The 18,183-nt window shown below is 50.0% G+C and overlaps 1 protein-coding gene across 13 annotated transcripts in view, besides 1 other annotated feature; it reads left to right on the top strand.

Annotated features, from left to right (window-relative positions):
- Positions 1–18,183, top strand: part of DPP6 (dipeptidyl peptidase like 6) — a 1,146,153-nt gene that overhangs the window by 995,489 nt on the left and 132,481 nt on the right. The window lies entirely within an intron of this gene.
- Positions 6,521–6,706: a silencer, noted in NCBI's record as "fragment chr7:154541852-154542037 (GRCh37/hg19 assembly coordinates)". NCBI's record gives its function as "represses an EF-1alpha promoter that drives an FKBP-Casp9 reporter gene in an ReSE screen in K562 erythroleukemia cells {active_cell/tissue: K562}" and the evidence as "EXISTENCE:reporter gene assay evidence [ECO:0000049][PMID:32094911]".

Raw genomic sequence — 18,183 nt, forward strand, 5'->3', positions numbered from 1 at the left:
TTTTTGCTGTTGCTGAAGTTTAAAGGTCCTGTGCCCCTTGGTATATACGCAGGGGATTGGTTCCAGGACCCCTGCATTACCAAAATTCAAACATACTCCAGTCCCAGTCAGCCCTGAGGACCCAGGTATATGAAGGGGTATATACGCAGGGGATTGGTTCCAGGACCCCTGAGTTACCAAAATTCAAACATACTCCAGTCCCAGTCAGCCCTGAGGACCCAGGTATATGAAAAGTCAGTCCTCCATATACAGGGATTTCACATCCCTCAAATACTGTACTTTCCATATGTATTTGGTTGAAAAAATCTGCACATAAGTCGACCCACGCAGTTCAAACCTATATTGTTCAAGGGTCTGCTGTCCCGTCCTTATGTGGGATGGTGACAAGCGGCCCTGTGTCCCATGGCGTGCAGCTGAGCGGCCTTGGTGCAGAGGTGGATTTGCAGCCAGTTGTCCACACATCCTGGATCCTCCCGGTGCGTCCTGTGTAATGGGTTAACTGGACCTGCCTAAGCCTGGGCCTCCCACCCCTCAAAAGCAGCTTCTCCAAGCTTTCCTACTTAAATTTCTCCAGCCACAGAGAGAAGCATTTATTGTCTCTCACCACACCCGCCCCCCAGTATAGAAGAAAGGAAGACTGGGGAATTGATCTCTCAGAGCACTTGGAGAAGCCACACGTCAGCAGCCAGTAAAGCTAGAATGAAAATCTGAGCGATCAAGGCAATGGAATAGAAAGTCAAAACCCAAACTTCATCTCTTCCCCACTAAAGGAACGGGAAGGGACACTGCCACCTGGCGGCCAGCCGAGGCATGTTCGGGGAGCCGATCCTCCTCCCTGGGCCCCCCACGGTGTTGATTTGTGGGAATTTGCAGATCTCTGATGATAATGAGGGGATTCGCAGTGTGTGATATGCAAATAACACAGCTCTGATTAGTGAAGGAGGCTGCGAGCCTTGCAAGGTAAAAGCTCCATTTGCCTTCTGGCTTGATGTTCGCTGATTTCTTTTTTAACCCCCCATTTAATTCTGCTCTCGGCACCTTGGATAAAATATTTAGTGGCAGGAAAAAGGCAACAGATGCAAGCAGGAATAAATAAGATTTTCTGTATTTAGAATGAGGCCACGTATTTCGGAGCACAGATCTATCAGGCATGTTATTTATGTCTTTTGCAATTTCCCGGGACCCAGATTTCTCAGGGTGCTTTGATTTTTCTCAAATATCTACAGCAGTAGGGGTCCAGGGAGCCCAGGGAGCACAGCCAGGCACTCACTCACAGTCAGAATCCAGGGGGCTGTGTTATTTAGGATGATCCGAAACGCGACCTTGCTGCCTGCATTCTGTTTTGATATGTATCTTGCCTCATTAAAAGATGACAATCTGCAATACTGATATTACTCAGGCAGATGGATTTCCCAAATGCTGGGCTATAGCCTGGGCTGCCAGACTGCATGAGGTTTAACATGGAAAATTAACTGCAGTCTTGTTCTCTGGTCTGCCAGGTCCAGCAGTGTAGTGGAAGGAGCAAAGGAGCAGGAATCAGGAGACTCACCAGGATCTGCCCTCTCCTGTCCTGTGATCCTGAGAAAATGGCTTGGTCTCCTCATCCTGGAGGTCTCCATAGTGGAGTGGGCTCAACATCACACCTGGAGTCAAGTCAAGGCTCCGCACGTCCCAGTGACCTAGAGCCAGTTGTCAACATCTCTGAGCCTCAAAATTCTCCTTTATAACAAATAATGTAAGCAGATCCACAGTCACTAGGAAGATTACAATAGAATTGCCAGAGTATCTAGCATTCAGTAAATATTTATTAACTAGATAGAAAAAAAATGTACCAGGCTTAGTAACACCCGGCCTTCCCATCTCATTAGAGGCTAGAATGCTCAATGGACACAGGGTGTGTCTTAGTCTGTTTTGTGTTGCCATAAAGGAATACCTGAAACTGGGCAATTTATAAAAAGAAGAGTTTATTTGCCTCAGGGTTCTATAGCCTGTGCAAGACACATGCACCAGCACCTGCTTAGCTTCTGGTGAGGCCTCAGGCTGCTTCTACTCATGGCAGAAGATGAAGTGGAGCTGGTTGTACAGAGATCACATAGTGAGAGAGAAAGCAACAGGGTGTTTAGGAGGTGCCAGGCTCTTTTATAACAGCCCGCCCTCACAGGAGTGAAATCAAGCGAGAACTCACTCACCCTTGGGGGAGGCCATTAACCTTTTCATGAAAAATCCACCCCCATGACCCACACACCTCCCACTAGACCCCACCTCCCATGACCCACACACCTCCCACTAGACCCCACCTCCAACATTGGGGATCAAATTTCAACACGAAGTTTGGAGGGGACAGGAAGCCAGGCCATAGCAGGGCATATAGCATTGGCATCAAAGCTAGGGTGTTGATTGGTTATGAATATTGTTGGTCCTGCCTCATTTATCAAGGAAAGAAGAAAAAAGAAGACTGTAGAAAGACTAAGTTCAGGGTATACATGAGTCTTCAAGAGAAGCCAGACAACATTCCAGGATTTCAGAAAGGGGACATGGCTGAGCTGGGTCTTCTCTTTGTGGGGAGACATGTCATTGGGCCTCTGAGTTCCAAAGACACAACCTGGAAAAAGCACAAAAAGACTGTCTACTTAGAAGATTTAGGATTTCCCGCATAGTCCCCAGGGCCTCCTCTGATCCTTTGACCAAGATATGAAAGCCCTGCCATATAAGAAGAGGGGAGCTCCATGCTGAGGTTAGGACACAGCACTGATATGATGCCGGCCTTCCTTGGTCTATTTGACACCTAATGAGGTGGGGACTTGTTGACAAAGTCCTTCCATCGTGAGGTCTGCACCCCTCACCCCCAGCTTGATTGTACCATTCTGTTTTGGAAATCCCCACCAGAAGTACCAGCAAATGCTTCTTAAGCTTCTAGAAATTTCTATCTGGGATTATTTTGTTCATAGAGCAATTCTGGCAGCCAGAGTTACTTCTGCATCTTTGCTTTGGACCACAATCACCCAAAAAGCATTAGGAGAAAAGAGATCACAGCAATGGTTCACTCAATTTTCAACTTCCCTATGCTGTTTAGATTTTGGCAAAAGAGTATTCACTGTGACTGCTGCTTTTCACTATAAAAAGAAGCTGAGATTTCCTGCCAACTATTTCACAAAAACAAACAGAAGATTCATTGAGAGAACCAAGGAAGCATCTGATCCTACAACACACGACCAAAATATACTGTCTGTATCTTGGAAATGAACTCCCTAAGAGGATAGAAAATAAGTCGTTCAAGCTCTTCTCTAACTCAAGTATAAGCACCCTATAACTGGAATTATGTCTTTTACCTCCTGCTTATTCCCAGGGCTGAGGGGACCATTCGTAGCTGATAATATCAGTTACAATCATGCAGGATCATCCAGGAATAAAAACATTGGAGGAAGGCAGCATGAAAGGGAAAGAAAATCCTGGTTTTCAGAAAATAACATGGAGACCTCATGAGCTCACTCTGAGTAATCACCCTTCAGCAGTAGCATCTCCCTATCCAGTCTGCTCCGTTTAAGGGAAGAGTTCATCTCACCACAGTGTTTCATTGAAGAGCTGGTTTTTAATTGGCCCTGTACCACTTAATTTATTTTCATTTGCATTCCAATGCTGTCTGCCTTGTACTGCTTTACTTCAAAGCTGGATCTAAAAAACATAGGCTCTTAGAAGGTTGCAAACCTGCAATTGTACAGAGGCTCTGAGAAGCGAAATGATTTGCCCAGTGAAATGGGGTAGTGTGGAAACTGAGAGAGCTCTGAAGTCTAACACCCCTGGCTTCACAATTCTACCTCCACCATTTACTGGTTGTATGAACTCAAGCAAATTGATTCACCTGTCAGACCTCAGTTTCCTCCTCTGTAAGATGGAACTAGCAGCATCGACCTTGTGGGGTCATTGTGCGAATCGCCATACTGTGTTAGTCTAGCATTGCTAGTCACTTACTAGGCACTCGCGAAGTGTAGCTGACTCCTAGTGTTGTTGCTCTTAGAAAACACCCATATGTTAGAAAAAAAAAATAGAACACTTTTTCTGCCTCTGAATAAGTGCCTAAGATCCTCTACCACTTCTTGCTATGACCACCCACCCAGAGTAAGGAAGACAGCTGCTCCCCCAGCCTCAGCAATGCGGAGACGGTGTCCAATTCTCCACTGACACCCTAGTTTTTTCTGTACGGTGCATGGGAAAATGTATAATAAAAAGCAAAGTGCGTCACAAATGATAGGTAGTCCTCACGTTATTAGTAGTAATAGTTGCTATATTGAGTGCTGTGGGTCCAGGCAGATTGGTTTATAGTCACTGAGATATGTTGATCTAATAATAATGAGAATGAATAGATAAAGGGGTACAAGCTGTCAGCTGACAATAATGTCTGAATAACATCAGTTTGGTTTGCTTACGTAATGGGTCTTACATGAAGAGGAGACACTCGGAACTCAACACCTGAACTCCTCCCGCTTCCGGCAAGGAGAGAGGCAGAAGGCGCCCACGTGGTGGACAGCAGCCCATGTAGAGGGGCCACAGAAAAGGGTGATGGGCATCCTCTCTGCACAGGGCAGAGCTGCAGGGTGTTGGGAGTCGGCTTGCTCCTCTCCACCTCCTCCCTTCTGCCATGTTCCCACCTGTCTCAGTCAGTCTGCAGTAACAGCTATAGAATGTCTTCATTTGGAACTTGGAGAATTTGCACAAAGGGAAGCAGACTGGACAAAGAGCTCAGATCGGGGGTCTCCGGGTCTGGGCACAGCCGTTACCCTTCCCCTCCCATCCTCCGTTCTCTCCTGCCGCCACCCACACTGTGCTCCTGGTGAGCTAGAGCCAGAGCGAAGTGGAACCCAGAGCACTGTTTGCCAACACCCGCGGCACTAGACAACGCCAAGAGAATGGCTTAGTAATAATGAGATAATAACTTAATGAAAAACCCCTGCGAGCCCTGCGGGGCGGGGAGGGAGACCTGGTGTGTGGTGCTGGACGCTTCCTGAGCACCTCCCTGCACAGCCTGCCTCTGGAGTTTCTCGCGCATGGCGGTAAGCAGGGCCAGGCCTCACTCTTTCCCCTTCACAGTGGAGGGTGTGAGCAGGGCTTCGATGCCTTTTGCTCACGGTGTCCAGCAGTGGATGCGCTGGTTGGAACGGACGTGCCTATAACCATGACTCCCACCGAGGCCTTGTCCTGCAAGCCCAGTTCCCATCAACAGCTCATTCTAGGGAGGGTGGAGGCCCAGTACCGCAGGCTTGCTGCATTTGGGTATTTCCAGGTGGCTCAAGTCAAACTTAAGAGCGCGACCCATTCGGAAAATCAAGTGAATAAAGCAGGATGGCATGGAAAGGGATGGGGGCTTTACTGAGAGAGGGTGAGGGAGGATAGGACGGGACAGGAGAGAGAGGGATGGAGGCTTTACTGAGAGAGGGTGAGGGAGCATAGGATGGGAAAGAGAGGGATGGAGGCTTTACTGAGAGAGGGTGAGAGAGCATAGGACCGGAAAGAGAAGGATGGCGGCTTTACTGAGAGAGGGTGAGGGAGCATAGGACAGGAGGGAGAGGGATGGCGGCTTTACTGAGAGAGGGTGAGGGAGCATAGGACAGGAGGGAGAGGGATGGAGGCTTTACTGAGAGAGGGTGAGGGAGCATAGGACAGGAGGGAGAGGGATGGCGGCTTTACTGAGAGAGTGTGAGGGAGCATAGGATGGGAGAGAGAGGGATGGAGGCTTTACTGAGAGAGGGTGAGAGCATAGGACGAGAGAGAGAGGGATGGAGGCTTTACTGAGAGAGGGTGAGGGAGCATAGGACAGGAGGGAGAGGGATGGCGGCTTTACTGAGAGAGGGTGAGAGAGCATAGGACGGGAGAGAGAGGGATGGAGGCTTTACTGAGAGAGGGTGAGAGAGCATAGGACGGGAGAGAGAGGGATGGAGGCTTTACTGAGAGATGGTCAGGGAGCATAGGACGGGAGAGAGAGGGATGGAGGCTTTACTGTGAGAGTGTGAGGAAGCATAGGACGGGAAAGAGAGGGATGGGGCATTACTGAGAGAGGATGAGAGAGCATAGGATGGGAAAGAGAGGGATGGAGGCTTTACTGAGCGAGGGTGAGAGAGCATAGGACGGGAAAGAGAGGGATGGAGGCTTTACTGAGAGAGGGTGAGAGAGCATAGGACGGGAAAGAGAGGGATGGAGGCTTTACTGTGAGAGTGTGAGGAAGCATAGGACGGGAAAGAGAGGGATGGGGCATTACTGAGAGAGGGTGAGAGAGCATAGGATGGGAAAGAGAGGGATGGAGGCTTTACTGAGCGAGGGTGAGAGAGCATAGGACGGGAAAGAGAGGGATGGAGGCTTTACTGAGAGAGGGTGAGAGAGCATAGGACGGGAAAGAGAGGGATGGAGGCTTTACTGTGAGAGTGTGAGGAAGCATAGGACGGAAAATACCAGAGTGCAATAGAGAAGGTGCAAAGGAGAGCTGCTTCCCACACCCTTGCTCCTGGCCTGTGTGTGTCCGTGATGCTGGGTCATGGTCAAAAACACGGATGGCCGCTGACATGGGTCTTTACAGAGAAAGGCTCCATCCAATCTGAAAGGCCTGCAGCAGGCAGAACCTATCCGTAGATGAACACCCTCGCTCTCCAGAAGACAAGAAGCGGGAGTCGCAGCCTATTGAAGTGTAGACATGATGTCTACACAGCCACCCTGTGTCCTGCAAGAGCCCAGGCTCAGAGCGTGTGCACCGTGAGGGCCGCCTGTGCCGGAGCAGGCCGCTTCTCCGTAGCAACCACATCCCACAGTGTGGAGGTTCCCAGCGGCGGGTAGTGCGGAAAACAGGGAAGGCAGGAAAGAAACTTAGCCAGGCACTGAGTGCGTGGGAAGGCAAAACACTCTTTTCTCCTCCCACGGCGGGGGCGCTCCCTGGGCGATGCTCACGGAGAGTGGGAGGGCGTCCCGCACCGGGCAGAGCTGAAGGGTGGCGGGGGTCGGCTTCCTCCTCTCTGCCTCTTCCCTTCCGCCACGCTTCCTACCCACACCAGCCAGTCTCCAGTAACAGATATAGAATGCCTTCATTTGGAACACGGAGAGACAAGCGTGCCGTGTGGGAAGGAGAGAAGCCGCTGCTGGAGCAAGCGTGGTCCCAGAGGAGAGCCTGATTTGAGTTAAAGCGAGAGGGCAGGAGAAGCAGTTGGGAATCGAGGCAGTGGGCCGAGGATGGCCCAGGTTCAAGAGGCACAGTGGGAGGCTGCAGGTGTAAGGAGAAGGACGGCTCAGGTGAGGGCTGCACAGGCGCTGAGGGGATGGGGCTCTGGGTGGTGACATCTCCAAGGCAAGAGAGCACGTAGATTTCAGAGCAAAACTATCTGGGTCAGAATCCCGGATCCACCCTTTATCACTATAAAATGTTGGGCAAGTACTCACAGTGCCTCTGCTCTCTCATGTATAAAATGTGAGGAACCATAGCACCAAAATCATGGAGGTGTTAGGCAGATGGATGTGCTGGGAGGAAACCTGTTTACTAGGGGGCTGGGTTGGAGATGGGGAGCTTCTTATGATGTCTGCTGTCAGCAGCTTTAAAGGAGATGTGGGTGTCTATCCTGGTGGTCTCCCTATCAGCCTGGGATCAGGTGGTGAGTGGCTTCACCTACTAAGCCCAAAGATGTGTTAGGAAAACAGGCCGATATCTATCGATAAGGAAAACTGGCCGGCACGATGGCTCATGCCTGTAATCCCAGCACTTTGGGAGACCAAGGCGGGCCGATCACCTGAGGTCAGGAGTTCGAGACCAGCCTGGCCAACATGGCAAAACCCTGTCTCTCCTAAAAATACAAAAAAAAAAAAAAATTAGTCGGGCGTGGTGGTGGGTGTCTGTTGTCCCCACTACTCTAGAGGCTGAGGTGGAAGAATCGCTTGAACCCAGGAGGTGGAGGTTGCAATGAGCTGAGATCGTGCCACTGCACTCCAGCCTGGGTGACAGAGTGAGACTCTGTCTCAAAAAAAAAAAAAAAAAAGAAAATGAAACTCAAAGGGTCATGTCATCTCCGTCATCTCCTAAGTGCTGCACCACTAACCAGGCAGATAGGACAGACACATGTCCAGAACATCGACGCGGGCCCATGTGCTTCCCTAGAGCAGCGCCCCCGAGGCAGGGACGGATAGGACTTCCACAGCATCATCGTCCTCTGAGAGGGAAGAAGCAACGTGGGAGGGCTGCATGGCCGGTGGGGGGTCCCTCTGGGATGTGCATGATGCTGGGGGAGGGGAAGGAGGAGCTGGAGACAGGGCAAGTCCTGGTAGCAGTGTCACCCTAAAAAGGGATCCTGATCCAGATGCCAAGAGAGGGTTCTTGGGTCTTGTGCAGGAAGGAGTTCAAGGTGAGTCTCAGAGTACAATGAGAAGACAGAGTTTATTGAAAGTTGCTCAGTTACAGAGCAGGGCGTCCTTGGAAAGCAAAGGGAGGAATGCGCCATCTTTGTTTTTCTCATATAGGGGCCTTGTCTATGTAAAGACTGAACTAAGCTGTGTCTGCTTGGGTGGGGGAGCCGACAGCATGACAAAATGTATATTATTCTATTGTTTTAAAGAAAAGGATCCTTAACATTTCAGTGTGTAAGTACATCAAAGCATAACTATAATTATCTCCAAAGTGATAATGTTACCAGTACTGGACATCAAGGCTTTCTGTTGTTGGAGGAGTTTTTGTCCTTGCAGGCATCACCAAGTTGCTTCCTTAGCTGTAAACATCTTAGGACCATGGGCTGTGACTGGCAAGGAGCGGGCCTTGCTAGTTTCAAGATAGAGTTGGTTTTAAAAAGATGTTGCCCTGGCTCTCCTGGGCTCTTGCTTCCCTGACAGCAGGAGTCTCTTCTGCATTTTGTATACTGCAGCTATCTAGAATCTGCACACTGGAAGAACGTAAGTGTACAGGAACCAGGAAGCTTGGAGAGGCTGCTGGCCTCCTGGTCTTCCTGTAGGTACTAAGGAGGCCTCACCCTTCTGGGATCCAGGGTCTCTCCCTCAAGGCTTGGGTTAGGGACATTAACATCTAAGGAACACTATCCACCGCAGGAGGCTGTAGCTCTGACGTGCCCAAGAGGAAAGCCCTGACCTACAGTGGCGGCCGCTCTGTTCTAGGATGTGGATGGCACAGACTGGTCAGAGAGAGCCAGAAGGTTCTGGGGGTGAGCTGCAGCTGTTGGCCCAGGGGTAAATGTTGGGTTCTACCCAGTGCCATGTTAAGACCAAGGGAAAGACATGGTGGACGGGTGTGGCTCTAGTGAACGGGATTTCCACCTTAGATTCTGTTCCCCTTGAGCCATTTATTGAGCACCTGCTGTGTGCCATGCCCTGTGCGGGGCTGTTTGTCCTCCTGCTGGGGTTGTGTTTCTTGGGGGACATAGCTCTGGCCGCAGAGGGATTAATCATGCCTGAAGGACCTGGGAGGCCTCCAGGAAGTGTGGCCACTGGACACAGTCTAATTCCCTTCTCTTCCGAGACCTTCACGCTTGCCTCCTGCGGTCCTGCCCAGGCTACAAAGTTGACATTGTCTCCTAAACAGTTTCTTTGGTGCTAAATTGTCAGGTTGCAAAAGCTATGAGGGAATAAACGGGTGGTGCATGGAGCTGGTGTCACTCATTGATCAACGTGCTATTATACGCTGGGGTACAAAGGGTGCCCGGTGACCCTTCCGAATCTATTATTTACTCGAAAGCAGTGACCACATCCACACACCCAGGGTGACACAGGGTGTGTGACGAGGCCCACAGATACATGCCGATTTGCAGGGGCACCTGCACTGGGTCTGGGGAGCCATCATCCTCCACAGGAGACAGCGACCACCTGTGGATTTTTGAAAGAAAGGAGTGGCATGGATTTCCCCGAGCGCCACCTCTCATTCCTCCTCTCCCATTCATGGTCACAGCCTGTGTTTGAGAGAAGGCTGTCCAGCTGGGGCCATCTGGGTGTGGGGCAGGATGAAGCTCACGTGCCAGTGTGGAATCGACACCCTCATTCTCTTTAGTATCATGCAGTCCCCACAGCGACTTCTGCTTCAGGCTAGTTCCGTAACCCGGGAAATTTTGAGGATGGAAAAGGGCAGGGACAGGAGCGGTCAGGAGTGGCTCAGCCCTGAGCCCAGGGTTTTGCCCAGCCGCCTTCCGTCTAGGCTGTCCCTCCATCCGCATCCAAGAAGCGGCATGCGGACATCTGTGACTGTGGAGGATGCCCATGCCCCTGTGGGGACAGGAATCCCTCTCCTCTACACAGAGGCCCTGAGCTGCTTCCTGGGGTCAGGACACACCTGCACAAGTTGAAAGGCCGGCTCTTGTTCTTTGAACAATAGAACCAGGAATAATTAATCATCGGATATAGTTGGGCAGAGAAACTGCTTATAATTTACAATTAATTAACCTTCCCCTTAAAAAAAAAACTGGAGACCTAATTTCCTGTCTGATCCACATTGTTTTTGATATCCATTATTTTTCAATGTGTTTTTGTTGAGATTAGGAAATATTTGTGCAGAATATCTCAGTCCGATTAAGGTGACAATTGCTCAGGATTTTCGTTGAAACTGTGTATTATAATGAGGCTTTCTGCAGCGCATCATAAAAGGAAAAATTCTTTCCATCATTTAATTTAAAACTAAAGCCAGACTATGTAAAAAATATTACATGTAATTTTAAGGCTATAACTTTGTTTTGTGGCGAAAAAATTCTAACTTTCAGATGAGGACAAAATAAGGTCAGCATTTTTTAAAACCCTTGGAAAATCCAAACTCTGGTAAATCTCAGCTGGTAGTTAAGTCACTGTCTAATTAGGATTCTAATTTCACAATCTCAATTATTTTTAACTTTCTGGTGAATATTAACAGAATGATCAGTTTTGGCAAAATACTAGGAAGAAAAATGTAAACTAAGGAAATTAAAAATGATGATAGGGTTCACAATCCATATTACCTAAAACACTCAACCAGTCACTGTATAGATGAGTAATAACAAAGTCAGTCTCAGTATAATTGTGAACATTCCTTTTGAAATTGAACATGTGAAGACACATGCACACGTATGTTTATTGCAGCACTATTTACAATAGCAAAGACTCGGAACCAACCCAAATGCTCATCAATGATAGACTGGATACAGGAAATGTGGCACATATACACCATGGAATACTATGCAGCCATAAAAAAGAATGAGTTCATGTCCTTTGCAGGGACATGGATGAAGCTGGAAACCATCATCCTCAGCAAACAAACACAGGAACAGAAAACCAAACACTGCATATTCTCACTCGTAAGTGGGAGTTGAACAATGAGAACACATGGACCCAGGGAGGGGAACATCATACACTAGGGCCTGTCTGTGGGTGGGCGGAAAGAAGAGGGAGAGCATTAGGACAAATACCTAATGCATGCAGGGCTTAAAACCTAGATGACGGGTTGATAGATGCAGCAAACCACCACGGCACATGTATACCTATGTAACAAACCTGCACGTTCTGCACATGTATCCCAGAACTTAAAGTAAAATAAATTAAAAAAAAAAAAAAAAGAAACTGAACACATGTCAGGAGCTGAATTTAAAACAATGTTTTGGTCAGTACCAGGACACGAATGACAGGCTGCCTGCCTGTCCGACCCTGGGCCTTATAGACAGTGTCACTTGATAGGATGTTTTGAGACCCGGACATCCCCAGCAGCCCAGCATGCACAGGCTCAGAGCCCACAGGTGCACACTGGGGTTGTCATGGGAGACAGGTGAGGAGACTGGAGACAGGCAGGTGCAGAAATGTCTCTGTCAGTATTTCCCATGGGTTATCTCTCACTTACTAGCTGTGTGAGCTTCGGCACATTATTTAAACTTTTTTTCCCTTAGTTCCCTTAAGGGAAAAAATAAAGATAATAATAGTGTCTACCTGGAGTGATTGCGTTGAGGATTAAATGAGTTAACCCATCTACGCAGTTAGAGCCGGCTTGGCGTGTGCTGGGTGCTCACCGACTGCTGGGTGTGGCCATCACCATCACCACCCTTCTAAGAGGACTTACCCGGAAGCTGCCAAGTCTTACTGGAATTCAATAAGAAAACTTACTTCCAAAAATAAAAATAAAAGCCACACACACATTTTCCCTGTAAATCTTGATAGGAAGAAGGAAAAGGTCAGGATGTTGCCGAGCCCTTGGGTTGGAAGAGGTCGGAGTGGGGCGCGTCCCAGGTCGGGAATGTTAGGACAAGGTGGCCTCTGTCTTCATCGTGTGTCTTGGGTCCCCCTTCGTAATGATACTGTCCTCACCACGTCTTTTTATTATGAAAAGGAAGAGTGGCGAGGACTTGAGTGGGACTGTTGGGTTGTTGTGTTGCAGAGGAAATATGCTTTTTGCAGAGGGCTTAGAAAACGTGCAGTGAAAAAAACAATGAGCCTTCTTGGCCCCAAGGCCTGTGGCTGCTGGCAGGACAGCGGTCATCTGCTCCAACCCCCTAGGGAAGAGTGAGCCGTTTGCTCTTTTTCTCTTCTCCAACTTCCCAGAACAATGAGGGTGATGAATGAAGAGGTTTCCCATGATAGTGAGGTAACTCTGTCAGTAGAAGCCCTGAGATGTCCAGAGGCCTGGGCTCACCAGGCCCCAGGTCAGAAGGCTCGGCAGCGCCCCACACTTGGCTTTCGGATCATCTCGTGCTGGGCTCATCTTCCCTTGCGGCTTCCTCTGCTCCCTCAGTTGGGCCCCTGCCTATACGTCTCCAGGCCCCCGAGGCTGGCATGCAGCCCCATGGTCATAATCAATGTTTTATGACACCTGCAGACTACAGGCAATAGTAGACGATTTTACGGATAATAGTTAATAGAGCTCTCACATCGACAACCCAATGAGGGCAGCCTGCTTCTATCCCTGTTTACAGAGGAGGAAACTGAGGCACCCAGGGGCTGGGTCACTTGCCCATGGTCACAGCTGGTAGGGGGCAGGGCCGGATTTCAGCCTCGAAAGTCTAGCTCCTGAGGCCATGCTGCTGCCTGCCACCCATCCCACCTCCTTAAGGTGCTGTGTTCCCACCACTTCCTAATCCTCAATCTCCTCTCCCCTCCCCATCCAGGAAGCCTGCTAGGATGGTCCTTGTCCATATTCTCCTTCCTGGCCTCCACCTGATGATAGCTTGTTGTGATACTTGATTCAGCTCGCGAGATATTCCTAGAACAACGAGAGAAAAATGAAGGCGCATTAGGCCCGCCACAATCAAAGCTGTCGTTCCCTTCTCCATCCCTCACGGCCCCCGAGGAACAGGCCAGCCCCTTTCCACCCGTCACATCCCCTGAAGAACAGGCCAGCCCCTTCTCCATCCTTTATATCTGCTGAGGAACAAGCCAGCCCCTTCTCCATCCCTCACGGCCCCTGAGGAACAGGCCAGCCCCTTCTTCATCTTTCACGGCCCCTGAGGAACAGGCCAGCCTCTTTCCATCCCTCACGGCCCCTGAAGAACTGGCCAGCCCTTTCTCCATCCCTCAGGTCTCCTGAGGAACAGGCCAGCCCCTTCTCCATCCCTCACGTACCCTGAGGAACTTGCCAGCCCCTTCTCCATCCCTCACGTTCCCTGAGGAACTGGGCAGCCCCTTCTCCATCCCTCACATCCCCTGAGGAACTGGGCAGCCCCTTCTCCATCCCTCACATCCTCTGAGGAACTGGCCAGCCTCTTCTCCTTTCCAATGGGTGTGCAGGTCCCTCCCTGCGAGGCCCTGCAAGTGTCTGCAAATGCACCAGCTGATGCCCACTGCCCAGTGGGTGTTCAGTGCACTGAAAAGTTCCCTCTCCTCCCCCACTGCAGCCCTCCTGCCTCACTTGGAGACAATGCAGAACCAAGATGGGATCAATAGTCATTGATTTCTCTTGGTCTTGAATGATTTTTACACAAGTCATTTTGCAATAAGAGGGCCTTCGTACGGTGCCTGTCTGCACTGAGGGCGTGGGATGACAGCCATTTTTGCTCAGATTTCTGCTTCCTGATCCACGGTAAGATGTTTCCTCCCTAGCTGGGGAGATCCTCATGGCTGAAGACAGTGTCCTGGCCTCTTATCTATCCTCTGGAGAGTCTGCCTCACAGCACTGGCATAGTCGTGGTGAGCGCAGGCACTAGGATGGAAAATCTCCGGCACACGGGAGGGGCACGTTCAACAAGAGTTCAGGATAATCCCTGTTACCACAGGGGTGTTCAGGCCTTCACAGGTTGGCAGAGGGCCCAAGTGTCATCTGCTGGTCACCTCAGCTCTGTGAGGAAGAAGGGGTGCAGACCAGGAAGTGGCTCAGGGAGGTCGGAGGCCAGCCCAAGGAGGGGGTGCCTGAGTGGCCCCAACCAAGTGCCGCGCTCTCCCCCCCGCCCTCTCCCCGCCGCCCTCTCCCGCCACGCACGGCCTCCTGGCAGCTCTGCCTTTTGGGCACACGCACCTTCCGTCTTCACTGAATCCACTCCCCCTTCAGGTGGGCAAACACTGCCTCTTGCAGACATGTTCTTGCCTGTGCCCTGTCCTGGGAACTGTAGTTGGCAGTTACTTTGAAGAGCTTAGGAAACAGCATGGAGTTCTGTCAGGTGGCAGACATTCTAGAATCTCTCTAACAAGGCTGAGTCGGTGTGTCAGTCAGGGCCGGGAAACAGGCCGTGGAGCTGCCTCAGAAGGCCCGCAAGTTCATGGCCACACCTGGTTCTGTGTAGGACCACATGCCTTGTATGTCCCATTACATTGAAATCTTTTCAGACTGTGATGAAGGAAATACAGATTTTTTTTTTTTTTTTGAGACAGAGTCTCGCTCTGTTGCCCAGGCTGGAGTGCAGTGGCTCAATCTCGACTCACTGAAATCTTCACCTCCCAGGTTCAAGCGATTCTCCTGCCTCAGCCTCCTGAGTAGCTGGGATTACAGGCATGCACCGCCACGTCCAGCTAATTTTTGTATTTTTAGTAGAGACGGGGTTTCACCATGTTGACCAGGCTGGTCTCAAACTCCTGACCTTAAGTGATCTGCTCTCCTCAGCCTCCCAAAGTGCTGAGATTACAGGTGTGAGCCACTGCACCTGGCCAAAATACAGATTATTTTAAAAAAGACATTGAATGTTTAGAACTGAATTAAACTGATAACTGCAGGTTTTTGTTTGTTTGTTTGTTTGTTTTGTTTTGTTTGTAAGAAGGGATGCTTATATTCACAGAGTTTGAAAAACAAGTGACCTAAGCCAACCCCTCATTTTACAGTAGAAGAAAGGCAGCCCAGAGAGGTGGGACCAGAGCTGGAGCCTGGGTCCCACCGCCTGTTTGCGTCCTTCCCGTGAGAGCACGCAGCCTCTATAAGCAGCAGGTGGGACCCAGGCGTTTGTCTATGGATTTTCCTCTCAAAGTTGCTCTTCTCTTTACTAGGGCAGATCCCAATTTTGAGGGGCCTAGAGTCTATGAAATTTGGGGGATCCTCTTTAGAAAAAGGACAGAAGATTGTGAATGGAAGCAAAGGCCCATGAAGGGGAGAAGCTCTGAGACCCAGCTTCTCCAGCCCCCTGGTGCGAATTCACCCCTCGCCACCACCCCGCAGGGATGCTCCCATTCCACAGCAATTTCCCGCAGACTCTCCAGAAGTGTGCACTCCGGCTCACTGCTTCCCCAGTCTTCACATGTTTGCTTGTCACTTGATTATCCTCCCCGAAGAGGAGCCACTTGTACTTTAAATGCCTCCTTCACATCAGCAGGCAATTAACAGTAGGGAAGGGAGAAGGAGGGTGAGCAGTGAGGCTTCTCAATCACACAACTCAAGAGCACGGGGACGTTCTCCCAGGAGCAGCCTGTCTCTTGTGCCTAAAGCACAAGGGGCAGCGGCAATAGGACGGAAGGGGACCACCCACGGGCTGGACTCTCGAGGCCAGGCAGAGGCCACTGTGCGGTCTTTCCTTCCGCTTCCCTCTCCCTGAGCCTTATGCAAATCCGGCTCTTAGCACAGCCTTTAGCTCTTGTCTGAATTCCAGGGGAGGCCCAAGATGGGACCCCCTACTTCAAAAATAAGCTTGAATTCAAACCTCCAGCATTGTTCCACAGTGCGCAGGCCAGAAGACATCCATTCTGTTCCTCCAATTCCCTGTAAGGCCCCTCTCTGTGTCCAGCCAGATAGCGTGTCTCCAATCCATGGGGTTGCAGAAGGGGCTCGCTGCCTGTGCACTAGATGCCAATACGGTGACACCAGGATTTTCAGAAAAGAAAAGCTTTATATTAAAAGTCTATTCCCAGCTGGGCGTGGTGGCTCATGGCCTTGGGAGGCCAAGGAGGGCGGATCACGAGGTCAGGAGTTCAAGACCATCCAGGCCAATATGGTGAAACCCCATCTCTACTAAAAATATAAAAAATTAGCTGGGCATGGTGGTGCACACCTGTAGTCCCAGCTACTCGGGAGGCCGAGGCAGAAGAATCACTTGAACCCAGCAGGCAGAGGTTGCAGTGAGCAGAAATCATGCCATTGCACTCCAGCCTAGGTGACAGAGCGAGATTCTGTCTCAAAACAAAAAAAAGTCTATTCCCAAGGAGACAGGCATCCAGCTCAACTCTGCCTCCCTGTGCTGGCTTCAAGGCAGTAATTTTATTTTTAAAGGAAAAGGATTCAGCAGGCGGATTCTGGGATTAGCAGGTGATTGGTGGAAGGAACGGGGAGGTTTGGAAAGTCCTTCAGCACACACAATTATTTCTTCACGATTACTCATGGGCTGTGTGTGCAAATTCAGGGGGGTGGGGTGGAGGAAATTCAGTCCATGACATCAGCAAGCTCATTCTGCACAGACCCCAGTTGACCAACTTGGTTCTGACAGACTTCAGCCAGTTCTCTTATCTCGGGGCGGAGGGAGCGTCAGTGTTTCAGCAGGTTGTTTCTATTCTTGTCTGCCATTCTGCGAGCTCAAGAACTTCTGTTAGCCATTCGTTTCTTTAACTCTTTGAGGCATTGTTTCATTATTAGGATGCTTGCTTATTTCTTGTCTCTTGAGCAACTGAGTGGGTGGATGACCCAGTCGATTAACAAATGAGTGAGAAACGAGAACATCCTTGCCACACTGGGACCTGTTTGAGCGTGAGGCAGGTGAGCAGAAGACATCAGGCCCAGAAGTTCTGGAAGCTCCCTCAGGTGCCCACAACACAAATGAAGAGGAAAGAGAGAAGACAAAACAAAAAGAAGGGTAAAGGAGCCTGGCATACTGGCTCAGCCTTCCTCTTTCAAAACTTTTGTTTTTTTTTTTTTGAGACAGTCTTGCTGTGTCGCCCAGGCTTGAGTGCAATGGTGCAATCTCGACTCACTGCAACCTCCGCTTCCCTGGTTCAAGCGATTCTCCTGCCTCAGCCTCCCGGATAGCTGGGACTACAGGCGCCTGCCACCATGCCCGGCTAATTTTTGTATTTTTAGTAGAGACAGGGTTTCACCATGTTGACCAGGCTGGTCTCAAACTCTTGACCTTAAGTGATCCACCCACCTTGGCCTCCCGAAGTGCTGAGATTATAGGTGTGAGCCACCGCACCCAGCTCAAAACTTTTTTGAAACTAAATTTGAGCTCAGCGATCTAAAATACAATGGCATAAAACTGCAAGTCTATAAACTGGGCATAGCTCTTTCCTCCTCTGCTCTGCACCAACTGGGGTGACCAGAAGGGACTGAACAGTCTAGGGGCAGGTCTTGCTCACTCACGCGTCCATGGCTGACGCTGGCTGCTAGATGAGGCCTGCTCTGTGTCAGCCAGGACACCAAATGTGGCCTCTCCATCTGACCAGGGCTTGCTCACCACATAGAAGGTGGTGTTCAGAGTGAGTGACCCAAGCAAGAGAGAGCCAGGGGAAAGCCATACCACCCTGTGTGAGGCCGTTCTTGCATTGCGATAAAGAAATCCCCGAGACTGGGTAATTTAGAAAGAAAAGAGGTTTAATTGGCTCCCAGTTCTGCAGACTGTGCAGGAAGCATAGAGGCATCTGCTTCTGGAGAGGCCTCAGGAAGCTTCCAGTCACGGCAGAAGGCCAATGGGGAGCAGGTGCATCACGTGGTGGGAGCAGGAGTGAGAGGGAGTGAGTAGGGGTGAGGGAGGCACCACACTTTTTTTTTTCAAGGTTTTATTTTATTTTTATTTTTTATTATACTTTAAGTTCTAGGGTTTGTTACATAGGTATACATGTGCCATGTTGGTGTGCTGCACCCATTAACTC

Source organism: Homo sapiens, chromosome 7 (assembly GCF_000001405.40).
Source record: "Homo sapiens chromosome 7, GRCh38.p14 Primary Assembly".
In the NCBI taxonomy this organism is placed as follows: domain Eukaryota; kingdom Metazoa; phylum Chordata; class Mammalia; order Primates; family Hominidae; genus Homo; species Homo sapiens.